This window comes from Homo sapiens, chromosome 11, assembly GCF_000001405.40.
Source record: "Homo sapiens chromosome 11, GRCh38.p14 Primary Assembly".
NCBI classification, from domain to species: Eukaryota; Metazoa; Chordata; class Mammalia; order Primates; family Hominidae; genus Homo; species Homo sapiens.
Window position 1 is genome coordinate 122838500 of NC_000011.10, and position 14437 is coordinate 122852936.

Here is a 14437-nt window from a genome sequence, read left to right on the forward strand (position 1 = left end):
AGAATCTAGAGGAAGTTGACAAAGGTGCCACAGCAGCACAGCACAGTATGTGGTGGAGAGTTCTCAGCTTGCTGGCATGGTTCCCCTTGCAAGGTAAGGACTTAGAGTTATTTTTGTTGTTGCTCAGCTGACTTAATGTTTTGCCACATCTACCTATCAGTCAGTCAACTGCATTTACAGAGGAGCTGCTGTAGAAGACAACCCAGGTAACTGCTAATACTTTCCAAGCCATGCTCAAATCATGCATCTGAGGGATGTTACTGCGTTTATTTGATCTCTCGTTCAATGGCTAAGGAGTATAGAAAGGATCATTATAGTGTGTGTCTCTGTGGGTCCTATGTTACGGCAAGATGAAACAAGCTTATTAGGCTCTGTCTTTTAAGGGCATACCAGTTGAAAGAGCATCCGTATTGAATTTTATTTTATTTTATTTATTTATTTATTTATGAGACACAGTCTCGCTCTGTCGCCCAGGCTGGAGTGCAGCGGCACGACCTCGGCTCACTGCAAGCTCCGCCTCCCGGGTTCACGCCTTTCTCCTGCCTCAGCCTCCCAAGTAGCTGGGACTACAGGTGCCCGCCACCACCACGCCCGGCTAATTTTTTTATATTTTTAGTAGAGACGGGGTTTCACCGTGTTAGCCAGGATGGTCTCAATCTCCTGACCTCGTGATCTGCCCACCTCAGCCTCCCAAAGTGCTGGGATTACAGGCGTAAGCCACCGCGCCCGGCCTCCACGTTGAATTTTAAAATTTCCTTGCTGTATAAATCTTAGCCAAACGATTTAATCTCTTTGAAACTCAGTTTCTGCATCTTAAAATGAAAATGATAAAAACTTTTGATCCACCAAACTCCCTGGATTGTTAGAAGGATCAAATTTCAAATGTGAAAGCACTTTGAAAATGATAAAGCGCTGTGCAACACTTATTTAGCTCAGAGGTAATAATGAGACCAATGAAAACTTCGTGTTTATTTTTAAAGAGTAAGTTATACTTTACATTTTACTATAATTTTCAAATTTGGATTTTAGTGCTTAATCCTAATGTAGCATTATGAAAATTAAGGATAGAAGCAGTTACCTTTTTGGAGCAGGTCAAATTATTTTCTACCCAAAAGTGGGGGCAGGGGTGTAGGAAGTGGCTCCTGTTGTCCCTCAGTCTCTGCTTACAATTGTATCAGATTCATGCAAAGGACATCCCTCACAAATCCACTCAAAAATTTTGCTTTTTGTGTGTTTGTTACCAAATATTGAAACTGTAGTTCTGTTTCATGAAATGCACCTATCCTTCTAAATCTACATTTAATCTGGAATGGCATCTGAAGGACGCTACTTTAAAAAACTCGATTTCCTATTTTACATAGTACTTCAATTCCCTATTTTATATACTTCAATTAATGCCTTCTTTTTTTGGTCCCTGTACCCTGAGGCACTTAATAAGGATTCAATTTTGGTAATGAATAATATTAGTTTCTTCATTAAGTGGCTTAAAGAATAGCTAATACATTCAAAAAGAGTACATTTAGACAGCTAAAATTAGGATGATTTCAATTTTTCCAGAGTTTAAAGCCTTTCACTGACCTTAACTTTTTCAGGCTTTGAGTTATTGCCTCATAAAAAATAACTCATAAAAATACATTTTTTAAATAAATAGCAAAAATTATGTTTCAAGGTAAACCTAAATTACTTAAATATTATTTATATAGAGAGGAAAAATATTGTTTCATGCACAGTGCTGAGTACTTTGTGTTAATTACACTTAATCATAGCGGAAGTACTGAGGTAGGTACTAATATCCCCAATTTAAAGATGAGAAAAGAAGTTATGTAACCTGCCCAAGTTTTAAAGCTAGAATATGACAACATAAATACCAGCCTATAAAGCACATAGTAAAAGTATTTATTTCATGAAACTTCTAATTAACGTGTGTGTGTGTGTGTGTGTACTAGTTGTGACAGAAAATGTATTAATGTGGATCAAAAGTTGGAAAACCACTGACTTTCACAATTTGGAGGATTCAATATTAAAAAGTCCTATTTGAAAACTCGTTCAAGGGGCCACCCGAGGGCATCTAAGCTCAATGGCATTTGAGCAGTGGCTGCCACCCCTGACCTAACCTTGCTCAAGCCCATCCCAGACGTAATTAGGAGGAGGTGACCATGTTGCTTTCTTGTCAGCAAAAAAGGCAGCAAATCATCAGTTTTGGCAAAGCTATAAACTGTCAGCTGATTTTAGCAAATTAAATTATGGGAAGATCACTGTGACTACTTCTACAGTGTTACTTCTATGGCTGCCAAAAATTTATGGAAAAAAAAAAAGTCACGTAATCTCAGAGCCTGCCCTCTTTTCAAGGCCACTCCCAGAATAAATAGTCTTAGGACTGGTAAAAACACAATAAAAATGAAGCATTTTTCAAAATTCATCCCATTAAATTACACTGTAGACAATGAAAATGTCAAATCCAATGAATTTTGAACCCTCTGTTTTCATTGTTTTGTGGAGGGTAGGATGCAGAAAACAAAGGAAAATTGCAAATTGAGTAGTTCTTTTCATACTTTCTTTGCCCAGGAAAAAGTCACATGTTAGATGACATGTTGAGACAGCTTCTTTAAAATGTACTAAAAATATTCCGATTCTGACAAGTCTGATTTATTTTTATACCTGCAATTTTCTCTATTGATTCAATCTAAAAATAATAAAAATCTTTTTTTGTAATGATCTGAATTAAAACACACTTTTGCTTAATGCCTCATGACAGTCATGTAACTAGGGCTCTGATTTGAGAATTAATGCATTGCATGTCTCTGGCTTTAACTTAGCCCTAGTCTTTATTATTTGATATAACAGTTAAAGAGCAAAGTTAGCATCCTATTATAATATTTATTCCTAAATATATACTTTTACTCTATTTTTTTTTTTTTTGAGACAGAGTCTTGCTCCGTCGCCCAGGCTGGAGTGCAGTGGTGTGATCTCAGCTCACTGCAAGCTCCACCTCCCGGGTTGACGCCATTCTCCTGCCTCAGCCTCCCGAGTAGCTGGGACTACAGGCACCCGCCACCACTCCTGGCTAATTTTTTGTATTTTTAGTAGAGACAGGCTTTCACCATGTTAGCCAGGATAGTCTCGATCTCCTGATCTCATGATCCGCCTGCCTCAGCCTTCCAAAGTGCTGGGATTACAGGTGTGAGCCACCGAGCCCGGCCTATTTACTCATTTTTATCCACTAATTCAACCAATATCTAAAATTTTACATTATGCTAAAATGAGTGGATGGCAAACAGCTTTTCCATAAGGAGTTTGTAATCTATCTACAGAGAAACACCTGTAACCAAATAATTATAAAGTAATGTGCTAAGTGCTGTAATAGAAGTATATCTCAAGACTTTGGGAAACTAGGGGAAAGACATTATGGGGAAAAGGGAAGCTAAGGCCTGTTTTGGAAGTTTTGACAAAAGTTGTGTAATTTGAGTTGAGCCTATAAGTTGAGTCTTGAGTTGGGTCTTAATGTTGAGTCTTGAAGGAGATGAGAAAGACATTCCAGGACAAGAGAATATCATAGAAAAAGACAAACTATCTTCTGGAGCCTGGAACTTTCTGGAAACAGCAAGTGGACATGTACAAGGACTATCTGAAAAGGAGTATCACGACATGGCAAAGGAGGAGAACACAGGAGTCAAGTCGGCTGGAATTTGGGCCTGATTCCTATAGGCAATGGAAGCCATAGCAAACACTTGAATGAAGGAAGAGACATAATCAAATTCATGGGTTATATGTTTGTTTGTTTGTTTGTTTGTTTGTTGAGATGGAATTTCATTCTTGTTGCCCTGGCTGGAGTGCAATGGCACAATCTCACTCACCACAACCTCCACCTCCCAGGTTCAAGTGATTCTCCTGCCTCAGCCTCCAGAGTAGCTGGGATTACAGGTGCCTGCCACCATCCCTGGCTAATTTTTTGTATTTTTAGTAGACATGGGGTTTCACTATGTCGGCCAGGCTGGTCTCGAACTCCTGACCTCAGGAGATCCACCCGCCTCGGCCTCCCAAAGTGCTGGGATTACAGGCGTTGAGCCACCACGCCCGGCCTCAAATTCATGGTTTTAAAATGTAATCCTAGAACCAGATGATGATGATGAATTAGAGAGAAGAGAGACTAGAACTAAGTTATTACAGTGGTCCAGGAAAGAAATGATGGAGTCCTTAACTAAGGCAGCAATAATAGTGACAAAAGAGGACTAAATTGATTAAAGGATGTTTTGGAGAAAGAAGAGTTTAGAGCACCTCTCAAATATCTGGTGTGCAGTGGTTGGTGATGACATTAATTTATATAAGGGAACTCTAGAATGGGGCAGGTGGCATATCTGTGTTAGACATGGGTGGAGCATGGGGACAGTAGAGATAACGAGTTCCAATGGGACATGTAGAGTTTGGGGTCTTTGCAGGACAGGCTTGCTCTGCTCTGGTTTTAAATTTATTGCATGTAAAAACTAGGCTATTAAGGCAAGAAAAGGAAAGAATATTTTATTCTTTTCTCAGTCTACATGATAGTCTATAGTAGAGGTAAAGATTGCACATGAGAACTTCCAAAATCTTGGGAAAGACCAAAAAATCTTACGAACTGCACTGGTTTTGTCTATGTGTACTTTGGTAGATGGCTGTTACTGCTGCTTGTCCTTTTGTTTGGGAGTAGATCACATGTGCTTTGGTGTAAAGCCATCCACTGATAGGACAATTAGTTCATGGGATTTGGGATGGTGATGACGGTGAAGGTCACAGGTTCCATTTCCATATATAAAGCAGTCACAATCTATAGCCCCAGGATCAGCTAGCAATCTCATAACATATGGTCATGCATGGATGGATGAATTCAGTCACGGAGATAATGACAAAGCCCAGAAGTCAATAATCCATTCTGTAAACATCACCTACCGTAGGAAGTGGTGACCTCACAGGCGAAACACCACAGTCATTCATTGTCAAGGTCTGTATGTTCAGCATGTGGGGAGCCGTGCAGGGCTAATTTGCAGATAAGAACTCTGAAGCTCAGATAGGACTAGGAAGTAGGTGTATGGCACTCGGGGTCTAATAAGAAAGCTTAAAGGTAAATGGGGATGTACATGTCTCTAGAGCCTACAGAGGAGGAAGTGGTAAGCAAAGAAGATATCTCACACCCCATCCCTCTGACAACAAAGGTGAAAGTCTGACTCCAAACTTAGGTGAAAGAAAAGTCAAAAGAAGTTCTAATTTGGTTTCCAGTGGCAATGAGAAGACCCTGGGGAACTTGTCCTTGGAAAATGTGCCACCAAAACTTAGGCACAGCATCCTGCTCTTCCACCTTTAACAAAACTACAGACATTGAAACATATTTTTAAGCACTACAGTCTAAGCAAAGCTGGGTGGGTCTGTGGCTTCTCACTGGGGCTATTCTTCCCTTCTACAGTGATTTCCTGTTTCTAAATCGAACATGGGGTCTACATGATAACACTGCAAGATAAGCAGACCCGTAAAGCCAAAAGCAAGGCTTGTTGCAAAGAGTAAAGGAAACAACGAATATTCTATGCCTCAAACACAGCCCTTTCCATATGAAACTCAGGCCTCTACAGTGTGGTCAATCTGGTTAGCCGCCTGATACCGAATTCTCAGCAAGTGCAAACATTAATCTTAAGACATACAGTACTTTAGTGTATAATAAAAAGCCAAACTATATTTCATCACAATTTTTAAAATGTTGTAAGGGTTAAATTATACTATTTAATTCATAAGCATGCATCCTAAGAAAGAGAAAAATGATACATACAACCTTAAAATGGGAGACATTTATTCCTAAACAAGCTGCAGATAAATCTCACCACTCCCATCTTACCCAATGCAGGCTTTCTGTTTAGACCATCATTTTACCAAAGGTAAGAACGTTGGCAAAACTTCTGTCAATGTCTAGTCCTCAAGGATGAAATTAGGGCATGTTTCTTAATACTACTCTTTATTCTATCATTGATTCCATGTGTAACTTTCTTCCAGTAGCTTCCTTCCTGTTTCTCAGTATTTTTATTAACAACAGGAGAACAAAGGTATCTGTCAATCACCTACATTATAGTGCCATCGTGAATACTAGCATTAAGCCAGTACTTTTCAAGCTCACATTGTAATAGTTTCTGTAAGGAATGAATTTTAGAGAAATATAAAACATAGCCGTTGTCCTCTAGAAACTTCAGTCTGTTTATAGGCATCAAGACAGTACACAAGAACTAGTGAGTAAAACAGTAAGCATCACAATGCTATGGAAGTTAGACAGTTCTGGATTCAAATCTTGGCTCAAAAGCTGCTTAACCTCTGAGCTTTGATGCCCTCATCTGTGAAATGGGAATAACAACACCTTCTTTACAGAGTTATTGGTTTTGGGCCTGAATAACTAGGCTATTTGCTGTTGGTGAAATCTAAAATAACACATTTGGGGGAAGAGAATCAAGAGTTTGTGTTGTACTTGTTAGGCTTTCAGACTTCTAACTGATCATCAGAAAGGTGATGAGGCCAGATGAGATGACCTATGGAGTGAGTATAGAGAGTCTATCCAGGATCTGACCTCCGTTGTGTGAAGGGCAGATTGATGAGAAGAACCCGGAAATAGAGCTGAGGAGCAGCAGCTGCCAGTGAGTTAGGAAGGGAGTCAAAAAGAGACTGACATCTAGGGAACCAGGTAAAGACACTGATTTAAGGGGCAGAGAGTGATCATATATGGCGAAGGAACACCATAGGTTGAATAAGATATGGTCTGAGAATGGAGCATTGGTTTGAGCAATGTGAAGGTCTTTGGCAACCTTGGCAAAGAGAGATTTCAACGAGGTAGTGGAGTTGAAAACCTGGTCAGAAAACAAAGAGTGGGATAAACAAATATAGATAGTTCTTTAGAAAAATGTGTCAGTGAAAGAGAGGGAAGGCAGGGCACGGTGGCTCATGCCTGTAATCCCAGCACTTTGGGAGGCAGAGGTGGGTGGATCACTTTAGGTCAGGAGTTCAAGACCAGGACAACATGGTAAAACTCCGTCTCTGTACTAAAAATACAAAAATTAGTCAGATGTGCTGGTGGGTGCCTGTAATCTCAGGTACTCGGGAGGCTGAGGTAGGAGAATTGCTTGCAACTGGGAGGTGGAGGTTGCAGTGAGCTGAGATCATGCCACTGCACTGCAGCCTGGGTGACAGAATGAGAATCTGTCTCAAAAAAATAAATAAATAAAAAGGAGGGACATAGGGTAGAATAGGGTAGTATAGGATAGTAGCTGGAAGGAAATCTGACATCATTTTGTTTATGCATTTTAATATGGGATGAATAGTATATATTTGTGTGCTGATGAGAATGACAGTTTTTTTTCTTAATTTTTTGTAAAGACAAAGTCTTATTATGTTTCCCAGGCTGGTCTCAAACTCCTGGCCTCAAGTGATCCTCCCACCTTGGCCTCCCAAGGTGCTAGGATTACAGGTGTGAGCCACCACATCCAGCCAGAGAATGATACAGCTAAAGAGAAAAAAAACAATGATGGTAGAATTATTTTTGTACCAAATCATCTTTTGAGAGATGGAGCAACACAGAAGGGAATTCCTTGTGTAAATAAATGAGATGGAAACTAGTGTCCAAGTGGAGATACCGGGTACCCACTCCATTCACAGCAATGTAGGGCACGCCAAGTATGCAGGATCTAAAAGCAAGTAGATGTGACTTGGGGATGACATTGAGAAACACATATGCAAATAAGTTAGCATTTCAATAGCAAACAATTTATGTGATGAAGAGAAGAGAGAAGTGGGAAAACATATTATTATTTAATTTAATTTATTTTTGAGATGGAGTCTTGCTCTATTGCCCAGGCTGGAGTGCAACAGCATGAACTCAGCTCACTGCAACCTCCTCCTCCCGGGTTCAATGATTCTCCTGCCCCAGCCTCCTGAGTAGCTGGGATTACAGGTGCCCACCACCACGCCAGGCTAATTTTGTTCGAGACCATGTTGGTCAGGCTGGTCTCGAACTCCTGACCTCAGGTGATCTGCTCACTTCGGCCTCCCAAAGTACTGGAATACAGGAGTGAGCCACTGCACATAGCCATAAATTTTATTATTTCACAGAGTTCTAACACCTCTGTCTGTCTGTCTGTCTGTCTCTCTCTGTCTTTTCATCAAATAATGATTGTGTACCATGAACTGAGTGGTATGATTAACTACACCTTTGGTTGGAATCTAAGGTCCAAAATGAAAAGAACTCATTATCACCATTTGCTCCTCAAAACCTTTAATCCTTCTGAACTGTTCCAATTTAGATTTACTGCGACTGGAACTGCTTCTTCCTTAATGTCTACTAGGACCTAACTGCTTCTTCCTTAATGTCTACTAGGACCTTAGAATGTTTAATAATAAATAGTCCTGTAACACTGGGGAAGGAGATCCCTAGTGAAGAGCTGCAGAGCTACAAGGCTTTGTCTTTTGACACTGACTCTTTCCACTTTTCTTTGTAAAGCAAGAGTCAGTTCAGCTTTTCAAATAATTATTAAGCACTATATACCAAGTAAAAGAAGAATGTCATGCTTACTATGGACTAAGTACTACACTAGGTTCTTTACATATATTTTTTAATTGCCTCAATGACTCTATGAGATGAATACTATTGTTTTTCCTGTTTTTATGGTAAGGAAATTCACACACTTAAATTGCCTAAGTTCGTGCTGTTAGTAGTGGAGGAGCCAGGATTCCAACCCAGTCAATTTGGCTCGTGTGCGTGTGTGTTACCATTGCATCATATGCCACCCAGGTTAGGGACACAGAGATGATTATAAACAGCTCCTCGGTGCAACAGGTTCAGATGGTACAAAGCCTAGGGGTCTATTGACAGATAAGACAATCAAGAGCCAGAATGTTCTCAGAAAGCTTGAACCCTCACTCCAAACTTACCAGATAAGACTGATGTAGGGAGAATATGAAATCTGAACTTTGGTTCCAAAATGAAATGCATCATGAACACAGGATAGGGAGACGTGATGTGACACAAATTCTCTGAAGAAGATCTGGGTGTTTTGGGTGACTGCCTCAACAGGAGCCTAGTGAGATGTTACAGCTCAAGAGTGAAACCCTGGGCTTAATAGAACAAGGAAGTCCAGAGGGTGGGTGGTGATGCAAGTGAATGTCCCCCTATGCTCTTGCCAGCTCTGATGACACATAAGTCCCCTGTCCCATGCAAAGGGGCATATTTTTGGAGGAACATGGACAAACTACAGTATATTCACATGTGGCTGTTGGCAAGTGGTGAACAAATGATAATGAAACTAGAGGCATAGCTTCTTTAATTATTTGACCTTATGCTATGGAAAAGACTTTTATCTTCAGAAGACCCAGTCTGACTAAGGGCATAAGGGCTTGGACGCAGTGGTATGGTAGAATGTCTTCTGGAAGTCTTTGAAAGTGAGATTGATACTCATCTTCCTGTTCCATGTGGTTTCTGCAGCAGCAGAGAGTTGGTCCCAAGTATCTGAGGAGCAGCCACAGGGCTCTGGAATTTTATTCATTACACTGCAACTGTGGGCTTTGGGAATAGGATGCTCTGAACACTCAGGCCTGGGGTCAGAAGAACTGATGCGTGGGCCCCACCACGAATTCCGAGTTAATTAGTAGTGAATGAGGCCAGGACACAAACTCCCTGAGTGAGTCTAACATACTGCCAAGGTGGAGGACCACTGGCTTTCCTACCTTCTTAATATGGATGTCATGAGAACACAAAATAGGGACTCAATGGCTTCTTAAATCTTTATTATCAGCAAAAATCCCTTAGAAGAAATTCTATTGTCATTCTCTATTAATATCATCCTTATTACTCAATTATGGATTGATGTCACAGAGGAGAATATTTCCAAATGGCCAAACCTAAGCAGAATTCTGGCCTTATGCCCCAGTGCTTTTTTTGGAAAGCACAGATCTCTTTTTATTACCTCCTTGTTGTTCATTATGGTATTGGTGGATGATATGGGTGTTTTTCCATTAGAACTCCAGCAAACAGTTTCCCGTGAAAGCTTATATGAATCCAATACAATAATTCTGGGTTATTTCTGCTAGAGGCTAGATTCAAATTAATGACCTAGGAATGGAACAAACAAAAAAGTAGACACCAATTAATTCCCAGAGCTCTCCAAAGCACTTTTCCTAATACTTGAAATTTATCACAAGAAAATATATTCTCCTGGTTTCTTTTTTGTTGTTGTTGTTAAGGTTTAAGATGATGCCGTAAAACTTGTTACATTTGCTATTCATAATTTATAACCCCATGGTATTCTTCTGTTTATAAAAGTGGTTTATACCTTCATTGATAAGAATTGCCTTTTCCTCAGGACAAATAATTTAATTTATAATATGAAGGAATAATGAATGGCAATAAGCATGCCAAATCATCAGGAATGCCAGTTTATTTTTCATCAATTTCTTTTTTTGGGGAGATAAATGTGCAGCTACTTAGAACAAATTGTTCATCATTCTCTGGGGGTTGTGATTCGGAGAAATTAGACTTGTGTTTGTCTGGAGAAAGCTCGGCTGTGGAATACTGAATTGAATGAAATCTTAGAACATCCTCCCTCTGGTGTAGAAACTCTCGGACAGGTGGGGCTCAGCCACTTGCCCTGAAGGGTAACTCCGCAGTTCACCAGAGCACCACGATTATAACATTCTTTCTTAGAATTCTAGACACACAACTTGAAGGTACTAGATGCTCTTTTATAAGCTGAGGCCAGAAAGGTTGCATTTTCTGGGGCCTTGTGGCTTAGATAGGCTGATGTAGTTACATAAACACGGCCTTTGCCATCCACAGCCCTGGGTACAGATCCCAGCTCAATGACCTCTGTTACCTTGAGCCTCTATTCCCTCGTCTGTAAAGTGAGCACAATTCTTCCTTTCTAGGGTTAGTTTGAAAATTAAATTCGGGTTGGGTGCTGTGGCTCACACCTGTAATCCCAGCATTTTGGGAGGCCGAGGTGGGCAGATGACTTGAGGTCAGGAGTTCGAGACCAGCCTGGCCAACATAGTAAAACCACGTCTCTACTAAAAACACAAAAACTAGCCAGGCTTGGTGGTACGTGTCTGTAATCCCAGCTATTTGGGAGGCTGAGGCATGAGAATCGCTTGAACCCAGGAGGCGGAGGATGTAGTGAGCTGAGATTGTGCCACTGGACTTCAGCCTGGGCAACCAGAGTGAGACTTTGTCTCAAAAAAAAAAAATTAAATTCAATACAGGTAAATGGCCTGGTACAGTTCCTGGCATATGGCAGAGCAATCGCCCAAAACCTGTTGAACTGTAGTTTGACCTTCCCTGTCTTCTGTCAAAATCCTACCCCTTCCTTCAGACCTGATTCCAGGGTCCCCTTCTTCAAGAGATATCATTACTGCTCCTACTCTCAGTTCTTGCCTCTCCCCTCCCATTTTGTTTGTATTTGCTTATTTTTTGGTTTCTAGAAGAAATAGATAATACATGATTGAATGAATGAACGAGACAAAATCCCTGAGACACTGTGGACCCCCGGCCTGATCATCCCCATTTCTCTTCCTCCACAGAGGCCTCTCTGACTAACCACACAGAAACCATCACCGTGGAGGAAGGCCAGACGCTCACTCTAAAGTGTGTCACTTCTCTGAGGAAGAACTCCTCCCTCCAGTGGCTGACCCCCTCAGGGTTCACCATTTTTTTAAATGAGTATCCTGGTAAGTGAAAGAAAGAAAGAAAAAATGCCACCAGACCTTAACCTGAGGGTTTTTCCAGCCGGACAGTTTGGTGGGACAGAAAGCCTGCATGAGTCACCCAAGGGGTGGGCTCAGCCCACCTACTGTTACACATGAATCACGCCTCCAAATCCTGTTATTTTACACGCAGTGGCTTGCTGGGGGCAGGAACTGTGAAATGGAAACCCCACCAGAATGGTTGTTAAAGGGGGTTCAGATTACAAAGCACATTTCCATGTCCCCACCCCACACTCACACCACTTTTTCACTCTCAGTAACTATCACACAACCACAGCACAATGACAGACAGGCAACCAACTGACTGGGAGCCCGATCCTCATGCAACCACCACCACCCCAGATAAGAAGCCAGCTGCTTCGTTTTCCATCTGAGCAATCCAAAGGCACATTACAAAGCTCCTTTCCAGATAGCTCTTCTTCTCCTGTTGGTCTTAACATAAAATCAAGATTTTTAAGCAATAGAAATAGACAGGATGTATTAATTTGGAAATGAGGACAGTCATTTCTCTTTTCACAAACACACATGAAGAAAGTACAAGATGTCTGAGATGGAAAAAGACTCTTAAGAATCTCTTGGGTTCATCTCTTTGACGTTAGGCAGGGTTTTACTAAACCCTAGATCATTTTATGTCTCCATTTAATATTGCTAACTGCCAAATACTTGGAAAAGTCTAAAACACATTTCAGTCTTATTTATAAAGCAGAGCCTCTTAAAGCATATCATGCTGGCTGGGCGTGGTGGCTCATGCCTGTAATCCCAGCACTTTGGGAGACTGAGGCTGGCCGATCATTTTGAAGTCAGGAGTTCAAGACCAGCCTGGCCAATATTATGAAACCCTGTGTCTACTAAAAATACAAAAAAATTAGCTGGGCGTGGTGGAGCACTCCTGTAATCCCAGCTATTGGGGGAGGCTGAGGCAGGAGAATCACTTGAATCTGGGAGATGACAGTTGCAGTGAGCTGAGATAGTGCCACTGCACTCCAGCCTGGGCAACAGAGCAAGACTCTGTCTCTAAAAAAAAAAAAAAAAAGTTATGCTTTGAAAGCATTATTAGATACTGATATGTTAACATAAAGAAATATATTATTTCAAGCTAAATCAACTAGAAGTAAATACTAATTGTTAAAAGTTCTGAGAGAAAAAAATTTTAAATAGAGATAATTCTGTTACATAATGCTTTTTGTTGTTTTGTTTCTGGTTTTGGTACACTGGGAGAAGAGGGACTCTCTCGGATTTCTGCAGCAGAATGGCTTGATCTAGCTCAGTGGTTCCCCACCCGGAATGATCTTACCTTCCCGTGGAGATAGGACAATGTCTGGAGATAGTTTTGATTGTGCCAAATGTAGAAAGCGGGGCAGTGCTTCTGGCATCTACTGGGTAGAGGCCAACGATTCATCGGATATCTTTCCTCATAACAGCTCTATTTCCCTCTTGTACAGCTTTAAAAAATTCCAAATACCAGCTTCTTCATCACTCGGCCAATCAGCTCTCCATCACTGTGCCTAACGTAACCCTGCAAGATGAAGGCGTGTACAAGTGCTTACATTACAGCGACTCTGTAAGCACAAAGGAAGTGAAAGTGATTGTGCTGGGTAGGTACCTGCAAGTGAACCCAGTAGGGGAGCAATATGGATAGGAACACGATATGTCGTTTTTAAACTGAACCTTTTAGTTTAAAAATGTTGCCTAGAGCAAGGAATTGCCTGGGACACCTCTGCCATCTTTTATTGAAAGGAAACAGAAGAGAGCATTTTGAGAAGCAAGACCAAGATTGAACTGTGAACTTGTGAAATTTGTCTTTGACAGCAACTAAATTTTCTCTCCAGGGAACTAAAAGAAAAGAAAAATTGATATTTGATGAGCTGCGACTATGCGCCAGGCACCATGTGAGGTTCTCGGGAATCAGAGATGAATTAGGCACAATCTCTGCCCATAAGGAGTTTGCGCACCAGCTCAGGAAGAAAAACATGTATGCAAATGAAGTGGAACCTCATGACAGCAAATCCTAAGATAGAATGAATTCAGATGTAGCTGCACTGCTTGATCTGCTCAAATCCTCTCTGCCAAACAATTCCTCTTTTCTGTAGGAGGGCGGGATTGGGAGGTGCGGATAGGAAGTGACAGCCTCCTAATTACCTGGGACTTACTCAGTTCTACAGATGGTCAACTGTGTCCAGTATGTCTATCCTTACTTGTTTTGTTTTTTGTGGCAGAACAGATCGATTAAAAACATTGCTTTTTATTGATCTCTAAGTAACATCATCTCACATATCACACAAATGAATGTCTTAGACTTCTCCTGTTGAATTACTGCAGTGTGGTGCCTGCCATACGGTAAAGGCATGATGGGAAAGTAGCTGAGAAGGAGTGGCTCTCGGGGAGGGGTTTGAGAACCATTGTGACTCAGCTCAGCGTTGTCTTTTTGTAAGGGAGCACACATCCTGGCTCAGCTGCTTGTGTGCCCTTCTGGGCTCTCATAACACCCCATGTATACTCTGTCATTGCTCTCAACACATAATCTTTTCATTAACAGTTTAGGGGCTGAAGCCACACCAGACTATTAGCTCCTTGAATCATACCTTTTTCATCTTCGTATTGCCAACAAGTAACACATCTAATGTATATTTGGAGCTAAGAAGTGCCTTTATAAGGTCTTGATGGCAGATGGGTGAGTTAAGTAAAT

General features: G+C 41.0%; 1 protein-coding gene across 2 annotated transcripts in view, besides 4 other annotated features; it reads left to right on the forward strand.

Annotated features, from left to right (window-relative positions):
* The window catches only part of CRTAM (cytotoxic and regulatory T cell molecule), a 34144-nt gene continuing 19707 nt past the window's right edge, over nt 1–14437 (forward strand). The window contains exons 1-3 of one of the 2 annotated variants that reach the window (NM_019604.4): nt 1–93; nt 11569–11715; nt 13194–13346. In NM_019604.4, coding sequence (NP_062550.2) covers nt 48–93; nt 11569–11715; nt 13194–13346 — 346 coding nt within the window. In that variant the 5' untranslated portion in view covers nt 1–47. The remainder of the gene's footprint in view (nt 94–11568; nt 11716–13193; nt 13347–14437) is intronic. The other variant, XM_011542900.3, reaches the window with a different exon arrangement.
* Nucleotides 4801–4850: an enhancer, noted in NCBI's record as "active region_5670". NCBI's record gives its function as "activates an Ori minimal core promoter by ATAC-STARR-seq in GM12878 lymphoblastoid cells {active_cell/tissue: GM12878}" and the evidence as "EXISTENCE:reporter gene assay evidence [ECO:0000049][PMID:35858748]".
* Nucleotides 5061–5110: an enhancer, noted in NCBI's record as "active region_5671". NCBI's record gives its function as "activates an Ori minimal core promoter by ATAC-STARR-seq in GM12878 lymphoblastoid cells {active_cell/tissue: GM12878}" and the evidence as "EXISTENCE:reporter gene assay evidence [ECO:0000049][PMID:35858748]".
* Nucleotides 11575–11674: an enhancer, noted in NCBI's record as "active region_5672". NCBI's record gives its function as "activates an Ori minimal core promoter by ATAC-STARR-seq in GM12878 lymphoblastoid cells {active_cell/tissue: GM12878}" and the evidence as "EXISTENCE:reporter gene assay evidence [ECO:0000049][PMID:35858748]".
* Nucleotides 14043–14102: an enhancer, noted in NCBI's record as "active region_5673". NCBI's record gives its function as "activates an Ori minimal core promoter by ATAC-STARR-seq in GM12878 lymphoblastoid cells {active_cell/tissue: GM12878}" and the evidence as "EXISTENCE:reporter gene assay evidence [ECO:0000049][PMID:35858748]".